At 51.7% G+C, this 20,495-nt stretch overlaps 9 annotated features.

Moving 5' to 3' along the window:
* Positions 732 to 1,232: an enhancer, noted in NCBI's record as "H3K4me1 hESC enhancer chr19:13280436-13280936 (GRCh37/hg19 assembly coordinates)". NCBI's record gives its function as "activates a minimal SCP1, AML or CMV promoter by ChIP-STARR-seq in naive H9 embryonic stem cells {active_cell/tissue: H9 hESC(naive)}" and the evidence as "EXISTENCE:reporter gene assay evidence [ECO:0000049][PMID:30033119]".
* Positions 1,233 to 1,733: an enhancer, noted in NCBI's record as "H3K4me1 hESC enhancer chr19:13280937-13281437 (GRCh37/hg19 assembly coordinates)". NCBI's record gives its function as "activates a minimal SCP1, AML or CMV promoter by ChIP-STARR-seq in primed H9 embryonic stem cells {active_cell/tissue: H9 hESC(primed)}" and the evidence as "EXISTENCE:reporter gene assay evidence [ECO:0000049][PMID:30033119]".
* Positions 3,585 to 3,644: an enhancer, noted in NCBI's record as "active region_14122". NCBI's record gives its function as "activates an Ori minimal core promoter by ATAC-STARR-seq in GM12878 lymphoblastoid cells {active_cell/tissue: GM12878}" and the evidence as "EXISTENCE:reporter gene assay evidence [ECO:0000049][PMID:35858748]".
* Positions 3,685 to 3,734: an enhancer, noted in NCBI's record as "active region_14123". NCBI's record gives its function as "activates an Ori minimal core promoter by ATAC-STARR-seq in GM12878 lymphoblastoid cells {active_cell/tissue: GM12878}" and the evidence as "EXISTENCE:reporter gene assay evidence [ECO:0000049][PMID:35858748]".
* Positions 13,054 to 13,113: an enhancer, noted in NCBI's record as "active region_14124". NCBI's record gives its function as "activates an Ori minimal core promoter by ATAC-STARR-seq in GM12878 lymphoblastoid cells {active_cell/tissue: GM12878}" and the evidence as "EXISTENCE:reporter gene assay evidence [ECO:0000049][PMID:35858748]".
* Positions 15,955 to 16,456: an enhancer, noted in NCBI's record as "OCT4 hESC enhancer chr19:13295659-13296160 (GRCh37/hg19 assembly coordinates)". NCBI's record gives its function as "activates a minimal SCP1, AML or CMV promoter by ChIP-STARR-seq in naive H9 embryonic stem cells {active_cell/tissue: H9 hESC(naive)}" and the evidence as "EXISTENCE:reporter gene assay evidence [ECO:0000049][PMID:30033119]".
* Positions 17,085 to 17,379: an enhancer, noted in NCBI's record as "tiled region #13602; HepG2 Activating non-DNase unmatched - State 18:Pol2, and K562 Activating DNase matched - State 18:Pol2". NCBI's record gives its function as "activates a minimal TATA promoter and a strong SV40 promoter by Sharpr-MPRA in HepG2 cells, with weak activation in K562 cells {active_cell/tissue: HepG2 | K562}" and the evidence as "EXISTENCE:reporter gene assay evidence [ECO:0000049][PMID:27701403]".
* Positions 17,370 to 18,280: an enhancer, noted in NCBI's record as "H3K27ac-H3K4me1 hESC enhancer chr19:13297074-13297984 (GRCh37/hg19 assembly coordinates)". NCBI's record gives its function as "activates a minimal SCP1, AML or CMV promoter by ChIP-STARR-seq in primed H9 embryonic stem cells {active_cell/tissue: H9 hESC(primed)}" and the evidence as "EXISTENCE:reporter gene assay evidence [ECO:0000049][PMID:30033119]".
* Positions 18,281 to 19,191: an enhancer, noted in NCBI's record as "H3K27ac-H3K4me1 hESC enhancer chr19:13297985-13298895 (GRCh37/hg19 assembly coordinates)". NCBI's record gives its function as "activates a minimal SCP1, AML or CMV promoter by ChIP-STARR-seq in primed H9 embryonic stem cells {active_cell/tissue: H9 hESC(primed)}" and the evidence as "EXISTENCE:reporter gene assay evidence [ECO:0000049][PMID:30033119]".

The following is a 20,495-nucleotide window of genomic DNA, read 5'->3' on the forward strand; positions in this document are numbered from 1 at the left end:
GGCTTGAGCCCAGGAGTTTGAGGCTGCAGTGAGCTATGATCATGTCACTGCACTCCAGCCTGGGTAACAAAGCAAGGCCCAGTCTCAAGAAAATCAGTTATTTTTGCATATGTATGGCGTACATAAGAACATTTGTTACATGTCTATAATGTAACCTCTCTCTGCTTTGCTTTGCAGCTCTGGCAGGGGCAGGGCAGCAGTGCTATGATGAGGCCACTTGTAATTGGGGGTGTTCATGGGAGGGCCTTTGTTCTCTGAGCACTGAGTGGGCACTGCTGTATCTCCATATGCCTGGGATCCTCATTGGTTCCCCTCCTTTCTCCCAGGCTTGTGCCTCTTTCTTTTACTTGACTTTTTTTTTTTTTCCACCCAGGCTGCCGTATAGTGGTGCCATCTCAGTTCACTGCAACCTCCACCTCCCAGGTTCAAGCAATTCTCCTGCCTCAGCCTCCCCAGTACCTGGGACTACAGGCATGTGCCACCATGCCTGGCCGATTTTTGTATTTTTAGTAGAGACAGGGTTTCACCATGTTGGCCAGGCTGATCTCAAACTCCTGGCCTCAAGTTATCCATTAGCCTCAGCCTCTGAAAATGCTGGGATTACAGGCGTGAGCCCGGCCTTTCTTCTTTTTCTTTTTTCTTTTGTTTGTTTTTTTAGAGACAGGGTCTCACTCTGTCACCCAGGTTGCAATGTAGTGGCATGATCATAGCTCACTGCAGCCCTGAACTCCTGTGCTCAAGTGATCTTCCCACCTCAGCCTCCCAAGTAGCTGGGACTATAGGTGTACATCACCATGCCTGGCTAATTTTTTAATTTTTTTTGCAGATATGGGGTCTTGCTATGTTGCTGAGGCTGGTCTCCAATTCCTGATTTCAAGTGAGCCTCCTGCCTCTGCCTCCCAAAGTACTGTGATGAGCTACTACGCCTGGTCATTGTCCCTCTTTCTCATGACTCTCTGGACATCCCTGGGGTGGAGGGTGGGGCAGGCACACACATCCCTCAACTTCCCAGTGGTTCCACGATGACTAAGCCAGCCCTGTCCCTGAGGCTGGGAGTCTGGAGCTAGGATCCACCCCCATGGCCTCATATCCCAACCTTGAGCCTGGGTTTCTGGTCAGACTGGACGGGCTAGCTCGGTCTCCTTAACTCTCAGAGTTGCCTTGTCCAGGCCCAGCGGGTCCCACACAGCCAGGCACACCCCACCCCACAGGGCTCCTGGGAAATTCTCTGCCCCACCCTCAGGCTGCCTCAGACAGACTGAGGTTACCTGTGATTGTCCCAGATAACCCGAGTGAGCCCATCCTCTGCTCTGGGTGGCTCCCTCCCTGGCAGCTGACCTGTAAATTTTGAAAAGATGGGGACAATGCTCAGCTAGGAGGGATGCTCCTGCTGTCTTCCCTGCTGGCCTGGCCACTCCCCAGACTGGACAGGTCCCTTGGCAGCTCTTCCCAGCAACCCAGGCAGCCCCAAGCCCCCTCTTGCTTGGTGTTCCAGGCCAGTGAGAATCTCACTTCTTCTCCAAAACTTTGTCTTCCAACTCCTGTTTTGTTGTGTTTTGTTTTTTTATTGAAACAGGGTCTCATTCTGTTACCCAGGCTGGAGCTCATGGCATGATCATAGCTCACTGCAGCCTCAAACTCCTAGGCTCAAGCAATTCTTCCCACCTCACCCTCCTGAGTAGCAGGGACTACAGATGTGGGCCACCATGGTCAGCTAATTTAAAAAGTTTTTTTCTTAGGCCAGGCATGGTGGCTCACGCCTGTAATCCCAGCACTTTGGGAGGCCGAGGCAGGTGGATAACAAGGTCAGGAGTTCGAGACCAGCCTGGCCAACCTGGTGAAACCCCTGTCTCTACTAAAAATACAAAAATTAGCCGGGCGTGGTGACAGGCACCTGTAGTCCCAGCTGCTTGGGAGGCTGAGGCAGAGAATTGCTTGAACCCGGGAGATGGAGGTTGCAGTGAGCTGAGAACACTCCACTGCACTTTAGCCTGGGCGACAGAGTGAGACTCTGTCTCAAGAAAAAAAAAATTATATATATATAAATTAGCCAGGCATGATGGTGAGTGCCTGTAATTCCAGCTCCTTGGGAGGCTGAGGTGGGAGAATCACTTGAACCTGGGAGGCAGAGATTGCAGTGAGCCAAGATTGCTCCACTGCACACCAGCCTAGGTAATAGAGTGAAACTCCATCTCAAAAAAGAATTTTTTTTTTTCAGAGATGGGGATCTCTCTGTGTTGCCCAGGCTGGCCTCAAGCAATCCTCCTGCCTCAGCCTCCCAAAGTGTTGGGATGACAGGCATGAGCCACTGCGCCCGGCCTGTGGTTTCTCCATGTGGGGCCAGATCACTCTTTGTGCAGGGAGCTACCCTGTGCATCTTTGATGTTGAGTAGTAGCCCTGGCCTCAACCCTGTGCCAATGAAAGATGTCTCCAGATGTTGCCAAATGTTGGGGTGGGGTGGGGCGCAGCCTTGCCGCCTGCTTCACCTGTTCTACCTGTCCATACTCATACCAACCTGCAAAGTAACTTAGACCGTGTGTTTTCTTTTTCTTTTTTTTTTTCTGAGATGAGGTCTTGCTTTCTCCCAGGCTAAAGTGCAGTGGCACGATCTCAGCTCACTACAACCTCTGCCTCCCAGGTTCAAGCGATTCTCCTGCCTCAGCCTCTCGAGTAGCTGGGATTACAGGCACCCGCCACCATGCGCAGCTAATTTTTTTATTTTGAGTAGAGATGGGATTTCACCATGTTGGCCAGGCTGGCGGCTCGAACTCCTGACCTGACCTCAGGTGATCCACCCGTCTCGGCCTCCCAAAGTGCTGGATTACAGGTGTGAGCCACCGTGCCCAGCTGGAGCATATGTGTTCTTTTTTTTTCTTTCTTTCTTTCTTTCTTTTTCTTTTTTTTTTTGAGACGGAGTCTTGCTCTGTCACCCAGGCTGGAGTACAGTGGCGCCATCTCGGCTCACTGCAAGCTCCGCCTCCTGGGTTCATGCCATTCTCCTGCCTCAGCCTCCCAAGTAGCTGGGACTACATACAGGTGCCCGCCACCACACCCGGCTAATTTTTTTGTATTTTTAGTAGAGACAGGGTTTCACCATGTTAGCCAGGATGGTCTCGATCTCTTGACCTCTAGATCTGCCCGCCTCGGCCTCCAAAAGTGCTGGGATTACAGGCATGAGCCACTGCGCCTGGCCAGGAGCATGTGTTTTCTCATCTTGGGCCTGGATCGAGTCCTTATGGTGGAGGTGATCTGCGGGTTCCAGAATCTTGGGAAGGGATTGGTGAGACCATAGCATGGCCCATTGCACCGTCCCTCTACCTGGAGTGAGGGGTGCCAGCCTCCCATTTCCTGGTGGGTGGGCTTGCTGGATGGCAGCCTGAGGTGGGTGGAGTCAGGCTGCCTTGTTCTATTTCCTGGTTCCCAGGGTTGGGTGGTGGCAATGGTGGCCCCGGAGCCAGAGGGCTTGGGGTACCCTGATCCTGCCTCCGGATTTACTGGGTGGGTGCTAGGGTGTGTGCTCCAAGACCGATGGCCCCTGTGGGCGTGGAGGAGAAACCAGAGACTCAAGCAGATCTCCCTGCCTGCCTTCTGCCCTCATGTCCCACTTCACCTTGGCTCTAGGCCAGGGGCTGCCAGAATGGTGACTCAGAGCGACTGAGAAGAGGAGAGAAACAGAATGGAGGTCCTTATCATCCTCCAATCTCCGCCATCCCAGCATCCCCATAAAGGTCAGGACCCTTGAGGCCACATGTCAAGACCATCCACACTGCCCTCTCCTGCTTCCTCCTCCTCTACCCGCCCTCTTTCAGTGGGATTTTTTTTTCCGGGTACCACGCTAGGGCAGGAAGGCAGAAGTGAGCATGGGGCGTGGAACGTCTCTGAGGTTGGAATATATTTAGGCCAGGAGAAGAGTGTGTGTGTGGTGCTGGCCAGGCCCTGGCGCCGGCTCGGCGGGCTTGAGGAGTGATGGTGGGGGGCCCTGAGCCAGTGTGGGGATGCTCCTGCCTTCTCCCTTTTTTTTTTTTTTTTTTTTTGGTTTTGAGATGTAGTCTCGCTCTGTTGCCCAGGCTGGAGTGCAGTGGTGCGGTCTTGGCTCACTGCAACCTCTGCCTCTTTGGTTCAAGTGATTCTCTTGCCTCAGCCTCTGGAGTAGCTGAGATTACAGGCATCTGCCACCACGCCCGGCTAATTTTTTCTATTTTTAGTAGAGATGAGGTTTCACCATGTTGGCCAGGCTGGTCTCCAACTCCTGACCTCATGATCCGCCTGCCTCGGCCTCCCAAAGTGCTGCGATTATAGGTGTGAGCCACCGTGCCTGGCCACCTTCTCCCTTTTAAAGACAGCCTGTCAGCTTTGGGGAGGAGGAGTGGGAATCACTAGGCCCCCACCAAGGCTGAGGCAGGCCCTGTGTGGGCCAGATACATTTAGCATCTTCAAAACAAACCAGCAAGACTAACATCAGGATCACTTACAGCTGTAAACACAAGGCCCAGAGAGGTTAAGTGGCTTTCCCAAGGCTGTTCAGGAAAGAGGTGATGATGGAAGGGTTCTCTTGCTGGCCCGGCTGGCTGCCACCATTCATGCACGCAGTGTTCATTCATGCAACACCTTTGTGGGTACAGCCTAGCCTGTGCCAGCCCCCAACAACGTGCGGGAGAACAAGAAGCCAACTGGACCCAGGTCGGCAAACCGCAGCCCATAGGTGGCATTCGTCTGTTGTCTCTGCACGGCCCTTGGGCTAAGAATGGTTTTTACATTTTTAAGTGGTTGAAAACAAAAGAATAAGAGTATTCCATGATACATAACAATTATATGAAATTGCAATTCCAGCCTTCATGAATTCAGGGTACACAGGTTACACCCATTTGAGTCCACATTGTCTGTGGTTGCCTTTTCGTGACTGTGGCAGAGTGGAGCTGTTTTGACAGAGACCCTGCAAAGCTAAACAACTTTCCTATTTGTCCCCTCCTCCCCTGTCCCCCTCACACTTTTTTTTGACAGAGTTTTGCTCTTGTTGCCCAGGCCGGAGTGCAACAGCGCAATCTTGGGTCACTGCAACCTCCACCTCGTTGGTTCAAGCGATTCTCCTGCCTCAGCCTCCTGAGTAGCTGAGATTACAGGCGCCTGCAACTATGCCCGGCTAATTTTTATATTTTAAGTAGAGACAGGATTTCACCATGTTGGCCAGGCTGGACCGGAACTCTGACCTGAGGTAATTCAGCCGCCTCGGCCTCCCAAAGTGCTAGGATTACAGGCGTGAGCCACCACACCTGGCTTTTTTTTTCTCTCTCTCTCTTTTTTGAGATGGTGTCTCACTCTGTCGCCCAGGCTGGAGTGCAGTGGCGTGATTTCGGCTCACTGCAACCTCTGCCTCCCGGGTTCAAGCGATTCTCCTGCCTCAGCCTCCTGCAACCTCTGCCTCCCGGGTTCAAGCGATTCTCCTGCCTCAGCCTCCTGAGTAGCTGGAATTACAGGCGCGTGCCACCATGTCTGGCTAATTTTTTGTATTTTTAGTAGAGACGAGGTTTCGCCATGTTGGTCAGGCTGGTCTGGAACTCCTGACCTCAAGTGATCAGCCCGTTTTGGCTTCCCAAAGTGCTGGAATTACAGGCCAGAGCCACCACGCCTGGCCATGCCCGGCTAATTTTTTTGTTTGTTTGTTTGAGGTAGAGTTTCACTCTTGTTGCCCAGGCTGGAGTGCAGTGGCATGATCTCGGCTCACTGCAACCTCCACCTCCCAGGTTCAAGTGATTCTCCTGCCTCAGTCTCCCTAGTAGCTGGGATTACAGGCGTCCGCCACCACGCCCGGCTAATTTTTTTGTATTTTTAGTAGAGACGGGGGTTCACTATATTGGCCAGGCTGGTCGGCAACTCCTGACCACAGGTGATCCACCCGCCTCAGCCTCCCAAAGTGCTGGGATTACAGGCGTGAGCCACCTTGCCCAGCCGGAGCATGTGTTTTCTTTCCTTTTTTTTTTTTTTTAAGAGACGGAGTCTTGCTCTGTCACCCAGGCTGGAGTGCGGTGGTGGGATCTCGGCTCACTGCAACCTCTGCCTCCTGGGTTCAAGCAATTCTCCTCCCTCAGCCTTGTGAGTAGCTGGGATTACAGACGTGCACCACTATGCCCGGCTAATTTTTTTTGTTTTTTGTATTTTAGTAGATACGGGGTTTCACCGTATTGCCCAGGGTAGTCTTGAACTCCTGAACTCAGGCAATCCTCCCGCCTCAGCCTCCCAAAGTGCTAGGATTACAGGTGTGAGCCATCACGCCTGGCATAAAATAATAATAATAATAATAATAATAATAATAATAATAATAATAAAATTGGCTGGGCTTGATGGCTCATTCCTGTAATCCCAGCACTTTGGGAGGTTGAGGCAGGCGGATCATGAGGTCAGGAGTTTGAGACCAGCCTGGCTAACATGGTGAAACCTCATCTCTACTAAAAATACAAAAATTAGCCAGGCATGGTGGTGGGCACCTGTTAATTCCAGCTACTGGGGAGGCTGAGGCAGGAGAATCGCTTGAACCCGAGGGCTGGAGGTTGCAGTGATCTGAGATCGCACCACTGCACTCCAGCCTCAGCGACAGAGCAAGACTCTGTGTCAACATTGTTTTTTTTAGGCCAGGGGCAGTACCTATTTCCAGCACTTTGGGAGGCCCAGGCATGAGGATCGCTTGAGCCCAGGAATTTGAGACCAGCCAGGGCAACATGGAGAAACCCTGTCTCTAGAAAATATACAAAAAATTAGCTGGGTGTGGTGGCATGTGCCTGTGGTCCCAGCTACTTGGGAGGCTGAGGTGGGAGGATATGCCAAGTCCAGGAGGTCAAGGCTGCAGTGAGCTGTGATCACACCACTGCACTCCAGCCTGGGTGACAGAAGAAGACCTTGCCTCAAAAAAAAAAAAAAAGTTTTTTATTATTATTTTTTTTTCTTTTTGAGACAGAGTCTCGCTCTGTCGCCCAGGCTGGAGGGCAGTGGCACAATCTCAGCTCAGTGCAAGCTCCGCCTCCCAGGTTCACACCATTCTCCTGCCTCAGCCTCCTGAGTAGCTGGGACTACAGGCGCCCGCCACCACGCCTAGCTAATTTTTTTGTATTTTTGGTACAGACAGGGTTTCACCGTGTTAGCCAGAATGGTCTCAATCTCTTTTCACCTTGTGATCCGTCCGCCTTGGCCTCCCAAACTGCTGAGATTACAGGCATGAGCCACCATGCCCAGCCTTAATTTTTAAAGATAGGGGTCTCACTATGTTGCCCGTTTATCTGAGCTCAAGCGGTCCTCCAGTGTTAGCCTCCCAAGTAGCTGGACTCAGGTTTTTATTTTAACAATGTAAGACTATATTATCCTTATAAGAATACTTTAAAAAAAATGGATAATCCTCCCAGACTCCCTGATATGGGAGTTGAAGGGGCAGATGTGGGGCGGAGGGAGAGGGGAGCTGGTGTTGGAACCAGGCTGGTTTGCTAAATCCAGCCTGCCACCTGTTTCTGCACAGCCTGCGAGTTAAGAATGGCTTTTTCATTTTTAAATGGTTGGGAAAAAAGAATCAAAAGGGAAATTTCACGACATGGGGAAAAGTATATGCAATTCAAATTTTAGTGTCCATAAATAAAGTTTTATTGGCATGGAGCCGGGCTCATTCATTTACCCTGTATCCGTGGCTGCTTTTACGCTTCACCGCAGAATTGAGTCATTCAACAGACTGTCTGGCCCTCGAAGCTGAAAATATTTACTGTCTGGCCCATTGGAGAAGAAGCTTGTAGACCCCTCTTCTAAGGGGCCTGAGACCCTCACTTCAATCTGTCCCTGATTCAGGCCGTCCCAGGATCATTTCTTCATTGGCATGGAAAAGACGTTGGTGTGATTTGGAGGCAGGAGGACTCGCTGAGGACTGATCCTTAACACTGGATGCCCCCTGGGGAGGAGGGGCATTGGGGTCTTCAAGGTGAAGCAGGATTGAGGACTGAGGTGGGCAGGCTGGCTATGGGCACGGCAGGAGCAAAGGCCAGGAGGCCAGACCTGTGCCTCAACTCAAGCTGCCCCGCTCAGTTCGAGTCCAACTTCGGCAACATAGCAAAACCCCGCCTGTACAAAAAAATTAGCCATAGGCCGGGCGCGGTGGCTCATGCCTGTAATCCCAGCACTTTGGGAGGCCGAGGCAGGTGGATCGCGAGGTCAGGAGATCGAGACCATCCTGGCTAACACAGTGAAACCCCGTCTCTACTAAAAATACAAAAAAAATTAGCTGGGCATGGTGGCGGGCGCCTGTAGTCCCAGCTACTCGGGAGGCTGAGGCAGGAGAATGGCGTGAACCTGGGAGGCAGAGCTGGCAGTGAGCCGAGATTGCGCCATGACACTCCAGCCTGGGCAACAGAGCGAGACTCAGTTTCAAGAAAAAAAAAAAAAAATTAGCTGTGCATGGTGGCACGTGCCTGTAGTCCCAGCTACTCGGGAAGCTGAGGTGGGAGGAATTGTTTGAGACCAGGAGTTCCAGGCTGCAGTGAGCCATGATTGCACCACTGCCCTCCAGCCTGGGCAACAGAGTGAGACCTTGTCTCTTAAAAAAATTAAAAAAAAAAAGCTGGGCGCGGTGGCTCACACCTGTAATCCCAGCACTTTGGGAGGCTGAGGCAGGCAGATCACCTGAGGTCAGGAGTTCAAGACCAGCCTGGCTAACTTGGCAAAACCCTGTCTCTACTAAAAATACAAAAATTTGCTGGGCATGGTGGTGCATGTCTATAATCCTAGTTACTTGGGAGGCTGAGGCACGAAAATCACTTGAACTCAGGAGGTGGAGGTTGCAGTGAGCCAAGATCATGCCATTGCACTCCAGCCTGGGTGACAGAGGGAGACTCTGTCTCAAAAAATAAATAAATAAATAAATAAATAAATAAATAAATAATTATAAATAAATAAAAGGAAAGAAAGAGAGACAGAGAGAGAAAATAAAAAAGAAAGAGGCGGGGCGCGGTGGCTCACACCTGTAATCCTAGCACTTTGGGAGGTTGAGGCGGGTGGATCACTTGAGGCCAGGAGTTCAAGACCAGTCTGGCCAACATGGTGAAACCACATCTTTACTAAAAATACCAAAAAAATTAGCCGTGTGTGGTGGCACGCACCTGTAGTCTCAGCTACTTGGGAGACTGAGGCAGGAGACTCACTTGAACCCAGGAGGTGGAGGTTGCAGTGAGCCGAGATCGCGCCACTGCACTCCAGCTTGGGGGACAGAACGAGACTGTCTCAAAAAAGAAAAAAGAGAGAGAAAGAAAGAAAAAAAATAAGCAAGCAAGCTCCCCCCCATCCCATCTCCTAGTGGATGGGACAGATCTATTCCATGGGTCACCTCCCCCTAACCGGTCCCCCAGGCCCATCTGCTGTCTCTGCATTTCTCTGCTCCTGTCCACCATCACTGTTTGCACCAGGCTCCATCTCTTTCATTGTCTTGGGTCTGGAGATGTACCCTGAGCTCCCTTAGTTGGTCCCCCACCTCTCTTATCTCCTTTTCTCAGCATGACCAGTGCACTTTTCTTTCTTTTCTTTTTGTTTTTTTTTTGTTTATTTTTTGAGACGGAGTCTCGCTGTGTTGCCCAGGCTGGAGTGCAGTGGCGTGATCTCCACTCACTGCAAGCTCTGCGTCCTGGGTTCAAGTGATTCTCCTGCCTCAGCCTTCCGAGTAGCTGGGATACAGGCTCCTGCCACCACGCCCGGCTAATTTTTGTAGTTTTAGTAGAGACAAGGTTTCGCTATATTGGCCAGGCTGGTCTCGAACTCCTGACCTTGTGATCCGCCCACTTTGGCCTCCCAAAGTGCTGGGATTTCAGGGGTGAGCCACCGTGCCTGGCCTTTTTTTTTTTTTTTTTTTTTTTTGAGACCGAGTCTCACTCTGTCACCAGGCTGGAGTTCAGTGGCACAATCTTGGCTCACTGCAAACTCTGACTCCCGGATTCAAGCGATTCTCCTGCCTCAGCCTCCCAAGTAGCTGGGACTACAAGGCGCCCACCATCACGCCCGGCTATTTTTTGGGTTTTGCCATGTTGGCCAGGCTGGTCTCGAACTCCTGACTGCAGGTGATCCACCTGCCTCGGCCTCCCAAAGTGCTGGGATTACAGGCGTGAGCCACTGTGCTTGGCCTTTTTTTTTTTTACTTTAAAAAAAACCTTTTTTCCTCATTCCATGCTTCATTTCAAAATTAACCATTTTAAAGAGAACATTTCGGTGACATTTCGAACATCCACATTGTTGTGCAGCCGTCGCCACCATCCATCTCCAGAACGCTTTCATCTTGGAAAACTGAAACACTGTCCTCATTAAATACTCACTCCCCATTCCCCCTCCCAGCAGCCCCTGGCACCCACCCATCTACTTTCTGTCTCTGTGGATTTGACTATTCTGAACATTTCATATCAATGGAATAATCTACTGTGTGGCCTTTTGTGTCTGGCTTCTTTCACTCAGCATGATTTTTAAAAATTTTTATTTTTAGAAACAGTCTCACTCTGTTGCCTGGGCTGGGGTGCAGTGGTGTGAAAATAGCTCACTGCAGCCTCAACCTCCTGGGCTCAAGCAATCCTCCTGCCTCAGCCTCCTGAGTAGCTGGGACTATAGGTGTGTACCACAATGCCTGGCTAATAAAACCTTTTTTTTTTTTTTTTTGGTTGGATGCGGTGGCTCACGCCTGTAATCCCAGCACTTTGGGAGGCCGAGGTGGGCGGATCACGAGGTCAGGATATCGAGACCATGCTGGCTAACACGGTGAAACCCCGTCTCTACTAAAAATACAAAAAAATTAGCCAGGCGTGGTGGCGGGCACCTGTAGTCCCAGCTACTTGGGAGGCTGAGCCAGGAAAATGGCATGAACCGGGAGGCAGAGCTTGCAGTGAGCCGAGATTGTGCCACTGCACTCCAGCCTGGGCAACAGAGCAAGACTGTGTCTCAAAAAAAACCACAGGGTCTTGCTTTGTTGCCCAGGCTGGTGTTGAACTGGCTTCAAGCCATGCTCCTACCTGGACTTCTCAAAGTGCTGGGATTACAGGCATGAGCCACTGCGCCCAGCCTGCCATCATGGGTTTTTTTTGTTGTTGTTTTTTTTGGTGGGGGGGTGGGTGGTGGTTAATGCATGTTGCAGCATGGATCAGTGCTTTATTATTATTATTATATATTTTTATGAGACAGAGTTTTGCTCTATTTCCCAGGCTGGAGTGCAGTGATGCTATCTCAGCTCACTGCAACCTCTGCCTCCCGGGTTCAAGCGATGTTTGAGCCTCAGCCTCCCGAGTAGCTGGGTGTGGAGGCACCTATCACCATGCCTGGCTAATTTTTGTATTTTTAGTAGAGATGGGGTTTCCCCATGTTGGCCAGGCTGGTCTCGAACTCCCGACCTCAGGTGATCTACCCGCCTCGGCATCCGAAAGTGCTGGGATTACAGGCGTGAGCCACCTTGCCTGGCCCAGAATACTTTCATCATCCCAAACTGAAACTCAACCTCTGTTAAACATCAAATCAATATTCTCTGCACACCCCCAGCCCCTTCTACTGTTCTACTTCCTGTCTCTAAGCCAGTGAGCTTTCCTTTTTTTTTTTGGGACACAGTCTCGCTCTGTCATCCAGGCTGGAGTGCAGTGGTGTGATCTCGGCTCAATCCAGCCTCTGCTTCTCGGGTTCAAGAGATTCTCCTGCCTCAGCCTCCTGAGCAGCTGGGATTACAGGCCCCTACCACCATGCCTGGCTCATTTTTGTATTTTTAGTAGAGATGGGGTTTCACCATGCTGGCCAGGCTGGTCTCAAACTCCTGACCTCAGGTGATCTGCCCGCCTCGGCCTCCCAAAGTGCTGGGATTACAGATGTGAGCCACCACGCCTGGCCTCTTTTTGGTTTGTTGATGTAGGCTGGGCTGATTGATCCTCCCCCATCTGATGGTGAGCCCTTGAGGGCTGGAACAGGATCCTTCTTCCTCAGCACTGTGCACTCCCAGCTCCCAGGCCTGTGCTTGATCCTCAGCTGATGCTCAAAATACAGTTGAAGGAACGGCAGAAAATTCCAAATGGGTGGGCAAAGGATGCAGTCCGCTGCTGGGGAGGATAGATGGGCTGAGGCAGGAGATGAATGCCTCGTGGCTCTGGGTGGGTGTAGGGAGCTCTTGGGCTGCAGGTGGGGTTGGGTGCATGAGCCGAGATCTCAGGGGGCTGGCTGAGTAGGGGCTGCAGACACTGAGAGAGAAGAAGAAGGGTCTTTGGAGGCAGAGAAGTGGGCACAGAGAGATGGGCTCCCCAGGCAGAAGTGTAGCCATGTGGCCAGGAGAAGGTGGGACGGAGGGACGGGAGGTGTGGAGGCTCCATGGTCACATTCTTGGCCGTCCTGCATGTGCGTTCAAAGCCTGGGAAGGGCCCGGTGCGGTGGCTCATGCCTGTAATCCCAGCACTTTCAGAGGCCGAGGCGGGCAGATCACCTGAGGTCAGGGGTTCAAGACAAGCCTGGCCAACACGGTGAAACCCTGTATCTACTAAAAGTACAAAAATTAGCTGGGCGTGGTGGCAGGTGCCTGTAATCCCAGCTACTCAGGAGGCTGAGGCAGGAGAATCGCTTGAACCCAGAAGGCGGAGGTTGCAGTGAGCTGAGATGGCACCACTGTCTGTCTGGGAGACAGAACGAGACTTAAAAAATAATAATAATAAAAATAAAAAGTAACAAAGCCTGGGAAGGCCTGGGGAAGGGGGCTCTCAATCCCAGCACTTTGGGAGGCCAAGGCAGGAGGGTCGCTTGATCCCAGGAGGTCAAGGCTGCAGCTGCAGTGAGCTATGATCGTGCCACTGCTTTCCAGCCTGGGTGACAGAGCAAGACCCTGTCTGCAAAAAAAAAAAAAAAAAAAAAAAAAAGTCCAGAAAGGCCGGTCTTGGGCTGAGTCCTGCCAGGGCCTGGTAGCCAGGGCCTAACAGTGTCCTTGTGTCCTTGCTAGGAGGTGAATTCCTAGTGTAGGCTTGACCCACTTTAGCTAGGGAAGCCACAGGATTTACCATTTCCAGGGGCCAGCTCTGCCTGAGGAGAGAGGCCTTCCTCATAAAGTCAGGCTTGGCTTCCTCCCAGCTGGCTGGCCTCCTTCTCCCTGATTCTAAATGCGGGCTTGTCACCGTGTGTCTGCATGTAGGCGCACGAGCGCACATCTGTGTGTGGGGGGGTGTTTGTGGTGCTGTGGGCAGCGTGGGGGTGGCATGTGTTAGCAAGCTGGGGGCCATTTCTACCCCACGGTTCTTTTTATATCTCACATTTACAGAAAGCCTGGACCTCTGAGCCTGGGCCTGTCAGTGGGCTGTTTGAGGCTTTGAAGGAAGGGACCAAGAGGCGGAGGCGTCTGAAACCCCGGCGCCGAGGGAGGATAGTCGGGTCAGGGGTGGCTGTTAGCTTCCTTCCATTGGCACTGACGGCATGCAGCCCGGGGCCATAGCCCTGCAGTGTCAGGTGTTGCAGAGCTATATTTTAAGACACTGGCACCATGGTTCACACCTATATTCTCAACACTGAGGTTGGAGGAAGCTGAGGTTGGAAGGCTGAGGTGGGAGGGTCACTGGAGCTCAGGGATTCAAGACCAGCCTAGGCAACATAGTGAGACCCCATCTTTACATATATATATATATATATAGCGATTATGTGTATATATATATGTATAGCGATTATATATATATAGCGATTATATATATACATATTTTTTCTCCTGCTTCAGTCTCCTGAGTAGCTGGGATTACAGGCTTGTGCCACCACGCCCAGCTAATTTTGTATTTTTAGTAGAGATGAGGTTTCACCATGTTGGTCAGGCTAGTCTTGAACTCCTGACCTCAGGTGATCTGCCCCCCTCGGCCTCACAAGGTGCTGGGATTACAAGCGGGAGGCACTGTGCCCAGCCCTACAAATATATATATATTTTACTTAGCTGGGTGCAGTGGCTGATACCTGTAGTCCCAGCTACTTGGGAGGCTGGGGAGGGAGGATTGCTTGAGCCCAGAAGATCGAAGTTGCAGTGAGCTATGCTCGTGCCACTGCACTAGCCTGGGTGACAGAGAGATCCTGACTAAAAAATAAATAAATAGGCCGGGCGCGGTGGCTCACGCCTGTAATCTCAGCACTTTGGGAGGCCGAGGCAGATGGATCACGAGGTCAGGAGATCGAGACCATCCTGGCTAACACGGTGAAACCCCATCTCTACTAAAAATACAAAAAATTAGCCAGGTGTGGTGGCGGGCGCCTGTAGTCCCAGCTACTCGGGAGGCTGAGGCAGGAGAATGGCATGAACCTGGGAGGCGGAGCTTGCAGTGAGCCGAGATCGCACCACTGCACTCCAGGCTGGGCGATGGAGCGAGACTCCATCTCAAAAAATAAATTAAATAAATAAATAAATAAAGCCGGGCATGGTGGCTCACACTTGTAATCTCAGCACTTTGGGAGGCTGAGGTGGGCAGATCACTTGAGGTCAGGAGTTCGAGACCAGCCTGGCCAACATGGTGAAACCCCCGTCTCTACTAAAAATACAAAAATTAGCCGGGCATGATGTTGGGAGGTCCCTGTAATCCCAGCTACTCAGGAGGCTAAGGCAGGAGAATCGCTGGAACCTGGGAGGCAGAGGTTGCAGTGAGCCAAGATCCCGCCACTACACTCTAGCCTGGGCAACAGAGCTAGACTCCATCTTAAAACAAATCAAAGTAAATATAATAAATAAAGCATACTCTCTCCACCTCCACTGCTGGGTCCTCACCAGGATGAATGGTTCAGAGCAAGGCCTGAAGGGGTCCTCCCTGAGATGCTGGGAGCGTCTCCCTGAGAAGCCCTGTTGGGCTGGTCCCAGTGGACCCTGGGTGCTCGCTGCCTAAGCTGCCCTCCCCCATCCCTGCCCAGCTCTGCACCCCATGAGAAGCCCTGTGGGTGGCCCCCAACTCAGGAGTTCCCACAGGGAGCTGAGGGCCGGTGATAGCCCCCCAGGCTTATGCAGTGACCTCGCTTAACAGCTGGTAACTCCTGCAGGATTCTGAGGCACCCGCCTCCTCCCAGAGGGACACATTCATGGCCTTTTCCTATTTATTTATTTATTAGAGATGGGGTCTTGCTCTGTCTCCCAGGCTGGAGTCCAGTGGCATGACTATTGCTCAATGCAGCCTCAAACTCCTGGGCTCAAGCAATCCTCCCACTTCAGCCTCTAGAGCAGCTGGGACTATGGGCATGCACCATGCTGGGCTAATTTATTTTTATGTGTATTATTGTATTAATTTTTTTTTTTTCGACGGAGGTTTGCTCTTGTTGCCCAGGCTGGAGTGCAATGGCACAACCTCGGCTTACCGCAACCTCCCTCTTCCGGGTTCAAGCAATTCTCCTGCCTCAGCCTCCGGAGTAGCTGGGATTACAGGCACCCCCCACCATGCCCGGCTAATTGTTTTTTTTATTTTTCTAGAGACAGGGTTTCACCACGTTGTTGGCCAGACTGGTCTTGAACTCCCGACCTCAGGTGATCTGCCCGCCTCAACCTCTCAAAGTGCTAGGATTACAGGCGTGAGCCACTGCTCCCGGCCTCGTATTAATTTTATTTTTAAAAATAAACACACTGCAGGCCTGGCGTGGTGGCTCACGCCTGTAATCCCAGCACTTTGGGAGGCCGAGGTGGGCGGATTATGAGGTCAGGATATAGAGACCACCCTGGCTAACATGGTGAAGCCCCGTCTCTACTAAAAATACAAAAAATTAGCCGGGCGTGGTGGCGGGAGCCTGTAGTCCCAGCTACTCAGGAGGCTGAGGCAAGAGAATGGCGTGAACCCGGGAGGCGGAGCCTGCAGTGTGCCAAGATCACGCCACTGCACTCTAGCCTGGGCAACAGAGCGAGACTCTATATCAAAAAAATAAATAAATAAAAGTAAATAAAAATAAAATAAACACACTGTAGCCTTGAAATCCTGGGCTCAAGCAATTCTGACTCTGCCTCTCAAAACAATGGGACTGCAGAGGTGAGCCACTGTGTCCAGCTAAAAAAATATATATATATGTATATATGTGTATATATATGTATATACATGTGTATATATACATGTGTATGTGTATATATACGTGTATGTGTATATATACGTGCGTGTATATATACACGTGTGTGTATACGCATACATACGTGTGTGTATACGCATACATACGTGTGTGTATACGCATACATACGTGTGTGTATACGCATACATACGTGTGTATACGCATACATACGTGTGTATATGCATACATACGTGTGTATACGTATACGTATATATATATCAGCCAGGTTCGGTGGCTCATGCCTGTAATCCCAGCACTGCGGGAGGCTGACGTGGCTGGATCACCTGAGGTCAGGAGTTTGAGACCAGCCTGGCCAACATAGCAAAACCCCGGTCTCTACTAAAAATAAAAAAATTAGCCAGGCATGGTGGCGGACGCTTGTAATCCCAGCTACTTGGGAGGCTGAGGCAGGAGAATCACTTGAACCCGGGAGACGGAGGTTGCAGTGAGCCGAGATCACGCCATTGCCCGCCAGCCTGGGCAACAAGAGCAAAACTCCATCTCAGAAAAAAAAAAAATTTTTTTTTCTTTGAGACAGTCTTGCTCTGTTGCCCAGGCTGGAGTGCAGTGACACAATCTTGGCTCTCTACAACCTCTGCTTCCTGGGTTCAAGTGATTCTCATGCCACAGCCTCCATAGTAGTTGGGATCACAGGCACGTGCCACCATGCCTGGCTGATTTTTGTATTTTTAGTAGAGATGGGGTTTCACCATGTTGGCCAGGCTGGTCTCGAACTCCTGACCGCCAATGATTCGCCTGCTTTGTCCTCCCAAAGTGCTGGTGTGTCCGGAGTTGGTGGGTTCTTGGTCTCACTGACTTCTAGTATGAAGCCGCGGACCCCCGCAGTGAGTGTTACAGCCCTTAAGGGGGCAAATCTGAAGTTTGTTCCTTCTGACGTTTGGATGTGTTCGGAGTTTCTTCCTTCTGGTGGGTTCGTGATCTCGCTGGCTCAGGAGTGAAGCTGCAGACCTTTGCAGTGAGTGTCACAGCTCTTGAGGCGGCGCATCTGGAGTTGTTTGTTCCTCCCGGTGGGCTGGTGGTCTCCCTGGCTTCAGGAGTGAAGCTGCAGACCTTTGCGGTGAGTGTTACAGCTCATAAAAGCAGTGTGGACTCAAAGAGTGGTCAGTAGCAATATTTATTGCAAAGAGCAAAATAACAAAGCTTCCACAGTGTGGAAACGGACTGGAACGCGTTGCCACTGCCAGCTGGGACAGCCTGCCTTTATTCTCTCATCTGGTCCCACCCACATCCTGCCGATTGGTAGCGCCCAGTGGTCTGTTTTGACAGGGCGCTGATTGGTGCGTTTACAATCCCTGAGCCAGACACAAAGGTTCTCCACGTCCCCACCAGATTAGCTAGATACAGAGTGTCCATTGGGGCATTAACAAAGCCCGAGCTAGACACAGGGTGCTGATTGGTGTGTTTACAAATCTTGAGCTAGATACAGAGTGCTGATTGGTGTATTCACAATCCCTGAGCTAGACATAAAGGTTCTCCAAGGCCCCATCAGAGTAGCTACATACAGAGTGTCGATTGGTGGATTCACAAACCCTGAGCTAGACACAGGGTGCTGATTGGTGTGTTTACAAACCTTGAGCTAGATACAGAGTGCCGATTGGTGTATTTACAATCCCTGAGCTAGACATAAAGGTTCTCCAAGGCCCCACCAGACTCAGGAGCCTAGCTGCCTTCACCCAGTGTATCCTGCACCGGGGCTGCAGGTGGAGCTGCCTGCCAGTCCCGCGCCGTGTGCCTGCACTCCTCAGCCCTTGGGTGGTCGGATGGGACTGGGCGCCGTGGAGCAGGGGGTGGCGCTCGTCGAGGAGGCTCGGGCGGTACAGGAGCCCACGGAGGGGGTGGGAGGCTCAGGCATGGCGGGCTGCAGGTCCCGAGCCCTGCCCCACGGAAAGGCAGCTAAGGCCCGGCGAGAAATTGAGCGCAGCGCCGGTGGGCTGGCGCTGCTGGGGGACCCAGTATACCCTCTGCAGCTGCTGGCCCGGGTGCTAAGCCCCTCATTGCCCGGGGCCGGTGGGGCGGGCCAGCCGGCTGCTCCAAGTGCAGGGCCCGCCAAGCCCACGCCCACCCGGAACTCCAGCCGGCCCGCAAGCGCCGCACGCAGCCCCGGTTCCCGCTCGCGCCTCTCCCTGCAAGCTGAGGGAGTGGGCTCCGGCCTTGGCCAGCCTAGAAAGGGGCTCCCACAGTGCAGCGGTGGGCTGAAGGGCTCCCCAAGTGCCGCCAAAGTGGAAGCCCAGGCAGAGGAGGCGCTGAGAGCGAGGGAGGGCTGTGAGGACTGCCAGCACGCTGTCACCTCTCACTGGGATTACAGGTGTGAGCTACCACGCCCAGCCAAAAAAATTTTTTATAGATGGGGTCTCACTATGTTGCCGAGGCTGGTCTCTAACTCCTGAGGGAAAGCAATTCTCTCGCCTCAGCCTTCTGAGTACGTGTGATTACAGGTGGAGTGATGAAAATATTCTGAAACTAGATGCAGGTGGTGGTTGTATTACATTGTGAATGTACTGAATGCCTCAGAATTGTACATTTTAAACAATTTTATGCTATGTGAATTTCACCTCCCTTCCTTTCCTCCCTCTCTCCCTCCCTCCCTTCCTCCTTCCTTCCCTCCCTCCCTTCCTTGCTTACCTCCCTCCCTTCCTTCCTTCCTGTCTTTCTTTCTCTCTCTCTCTCTCTCTTTCTCTTTCTTTCTCTCTCTCTCTCTCTCTTTCTCTCTTTCTTCTTTCTTTCTTGTCTCGCTCTGTCGCCCAGGCTGGAGAGCAATGGCGCGAGCTTGGCTCACTGCAACCTCTGTCTCCTGGGTTCAAGCAATTCTTCTGCCTCAGCCTCCCAAGTAGCTGGGATTACAGGGGCCTGCCACTACACCCGGCTAATTTTTTGTATTTGTATTTATTTTTTTATTTTTGAGATGGAGTCTTGCTCTGTCACCCAGGCTGGAGTGCAGTGGCACGATCTCAGCTCACTGCAACCTCTGCCTCCCAGGTTAAAGCAATTCTCCTGTCTTAGCCTTCTGAGTAGCTGGTACTACAGGCACCTGCCACCACGCCTGGCTAATTTTTGAATTTTTAGTAGAGACGGGTTTCACCTTGTTGGTCAAGCTGGTCTCAAACTCTTGACCTCTGGTGATCCACCCGCCTGGGCCTCCCAAAGTGCTGGGATTACAGGCATGAGCCACCACACCCGGCCAGGCTTTTTAAAATTTTTTTTGAGACAGAGTCTTGCTCTTCTCCCTCAGGCTGGAGTGCAATGGCATGATCTTGGCTCACTGCAACTTCCACCTCCCGGGTTCAAGTGATTCTCCTGCCTCAGCCTCCCAAGTAGCTGGGATTACAGGCACCTGCCACCAAGCCTGGCTAATTTGGTATTTTTAGTAGAGACGGAGTTTCACCATGTTGGCCAGGCTGGTCTCGAACTTCTGACCTCAGGTGATCTGCCTGCCTTGGGCTCCCAAAGTGCCTGGATTATAGGCATGAGCCACTGGGCCCAGCCTCTTTTTACTTTCTTTTTTTTTTTTGAGACAGAGTTTCACTCTTGTTGCCCAGGCTGGATTGCAATGGCTCGATCTCGACTCACTGCAACCTCCGCCTCTTGGGTTCAAGCAATTCTCCTGCCTCAGCCTCCCAAGTAGCTGGGATTACAGGCATGTGCCACCATGCCAGGCTAATTTTTTCTTTTCTTTCTTTTTTTTTTTTTTTTTTTGAGACGGGGTCTTGCTCTGTAGCCCAGGCTGGAGTGGAGTGGAGCGATCTTGGCTTACTGCAAGCTCTGCTTCCCGGGTTCATGTCATTCTCCTGCCTCAGCCTCCTGAGTAGCTGGGATTACAGGCGCCCTCCACAACTAATTTTTTTGTATTTTCAGTAGAGACAGGGTTTCGCCGTGTTAGCCAGGATGGTCTCGATCTCCTGACCTTGTGATCCACCCGCCTTGGCCTCCCAAAGTGCTGGGATTACAGGCGTAAGCCACCGCGCCCAGCCTCTATTTTTAATAGAGACGGGGTGTCACCATGTTCTCCAGGCTGGTCTTGAACTCCTGACCTCAGATGATCTGCCCACCTCGGCCTCCCAAAATGCTGGAATTACAGTCGTGAGCCACTGCGCCTGGCTCTTTTTACTTTCTTTAATGTGACTACTAGAACATTTTGTTTGTTTGTTTATTTATTTATTGAGACAGTGTCTGACTCTGTTACCCAGGCTAGAGTTCAGTGGCACCATCTCAGCTCACTGCAATCTCTACCTCCCACACTCAAGCGATCCTGCCACCTCAGCCTCCTGAGAAGCTGCGACTAAAAGCACACACCACTACGCCTGGCTAAATTTTGTATTTTTTGTAGAGATGAGGTTTCCCTCTTGTCACCCAGGCTGGAGTGCAATGGCGCAATCTCGGCTCACTGCAACCTCCATCTCCCGGGTTCAAACGATTCTCT

Source organism: Homo sapiens, chromosome 19, assembly GCF_000001405.40.
Source record: "Homo sapiens chromosome 19, GRCh38.p14 Primary Assembly".
In the NCBI taxonomy this organism is placed as follows: domain Eukaryota; kingdom Metazoa; phylum Chordata; class Mammalia; order Primates; family Hominidae; genus Homo; species Homo sapiens.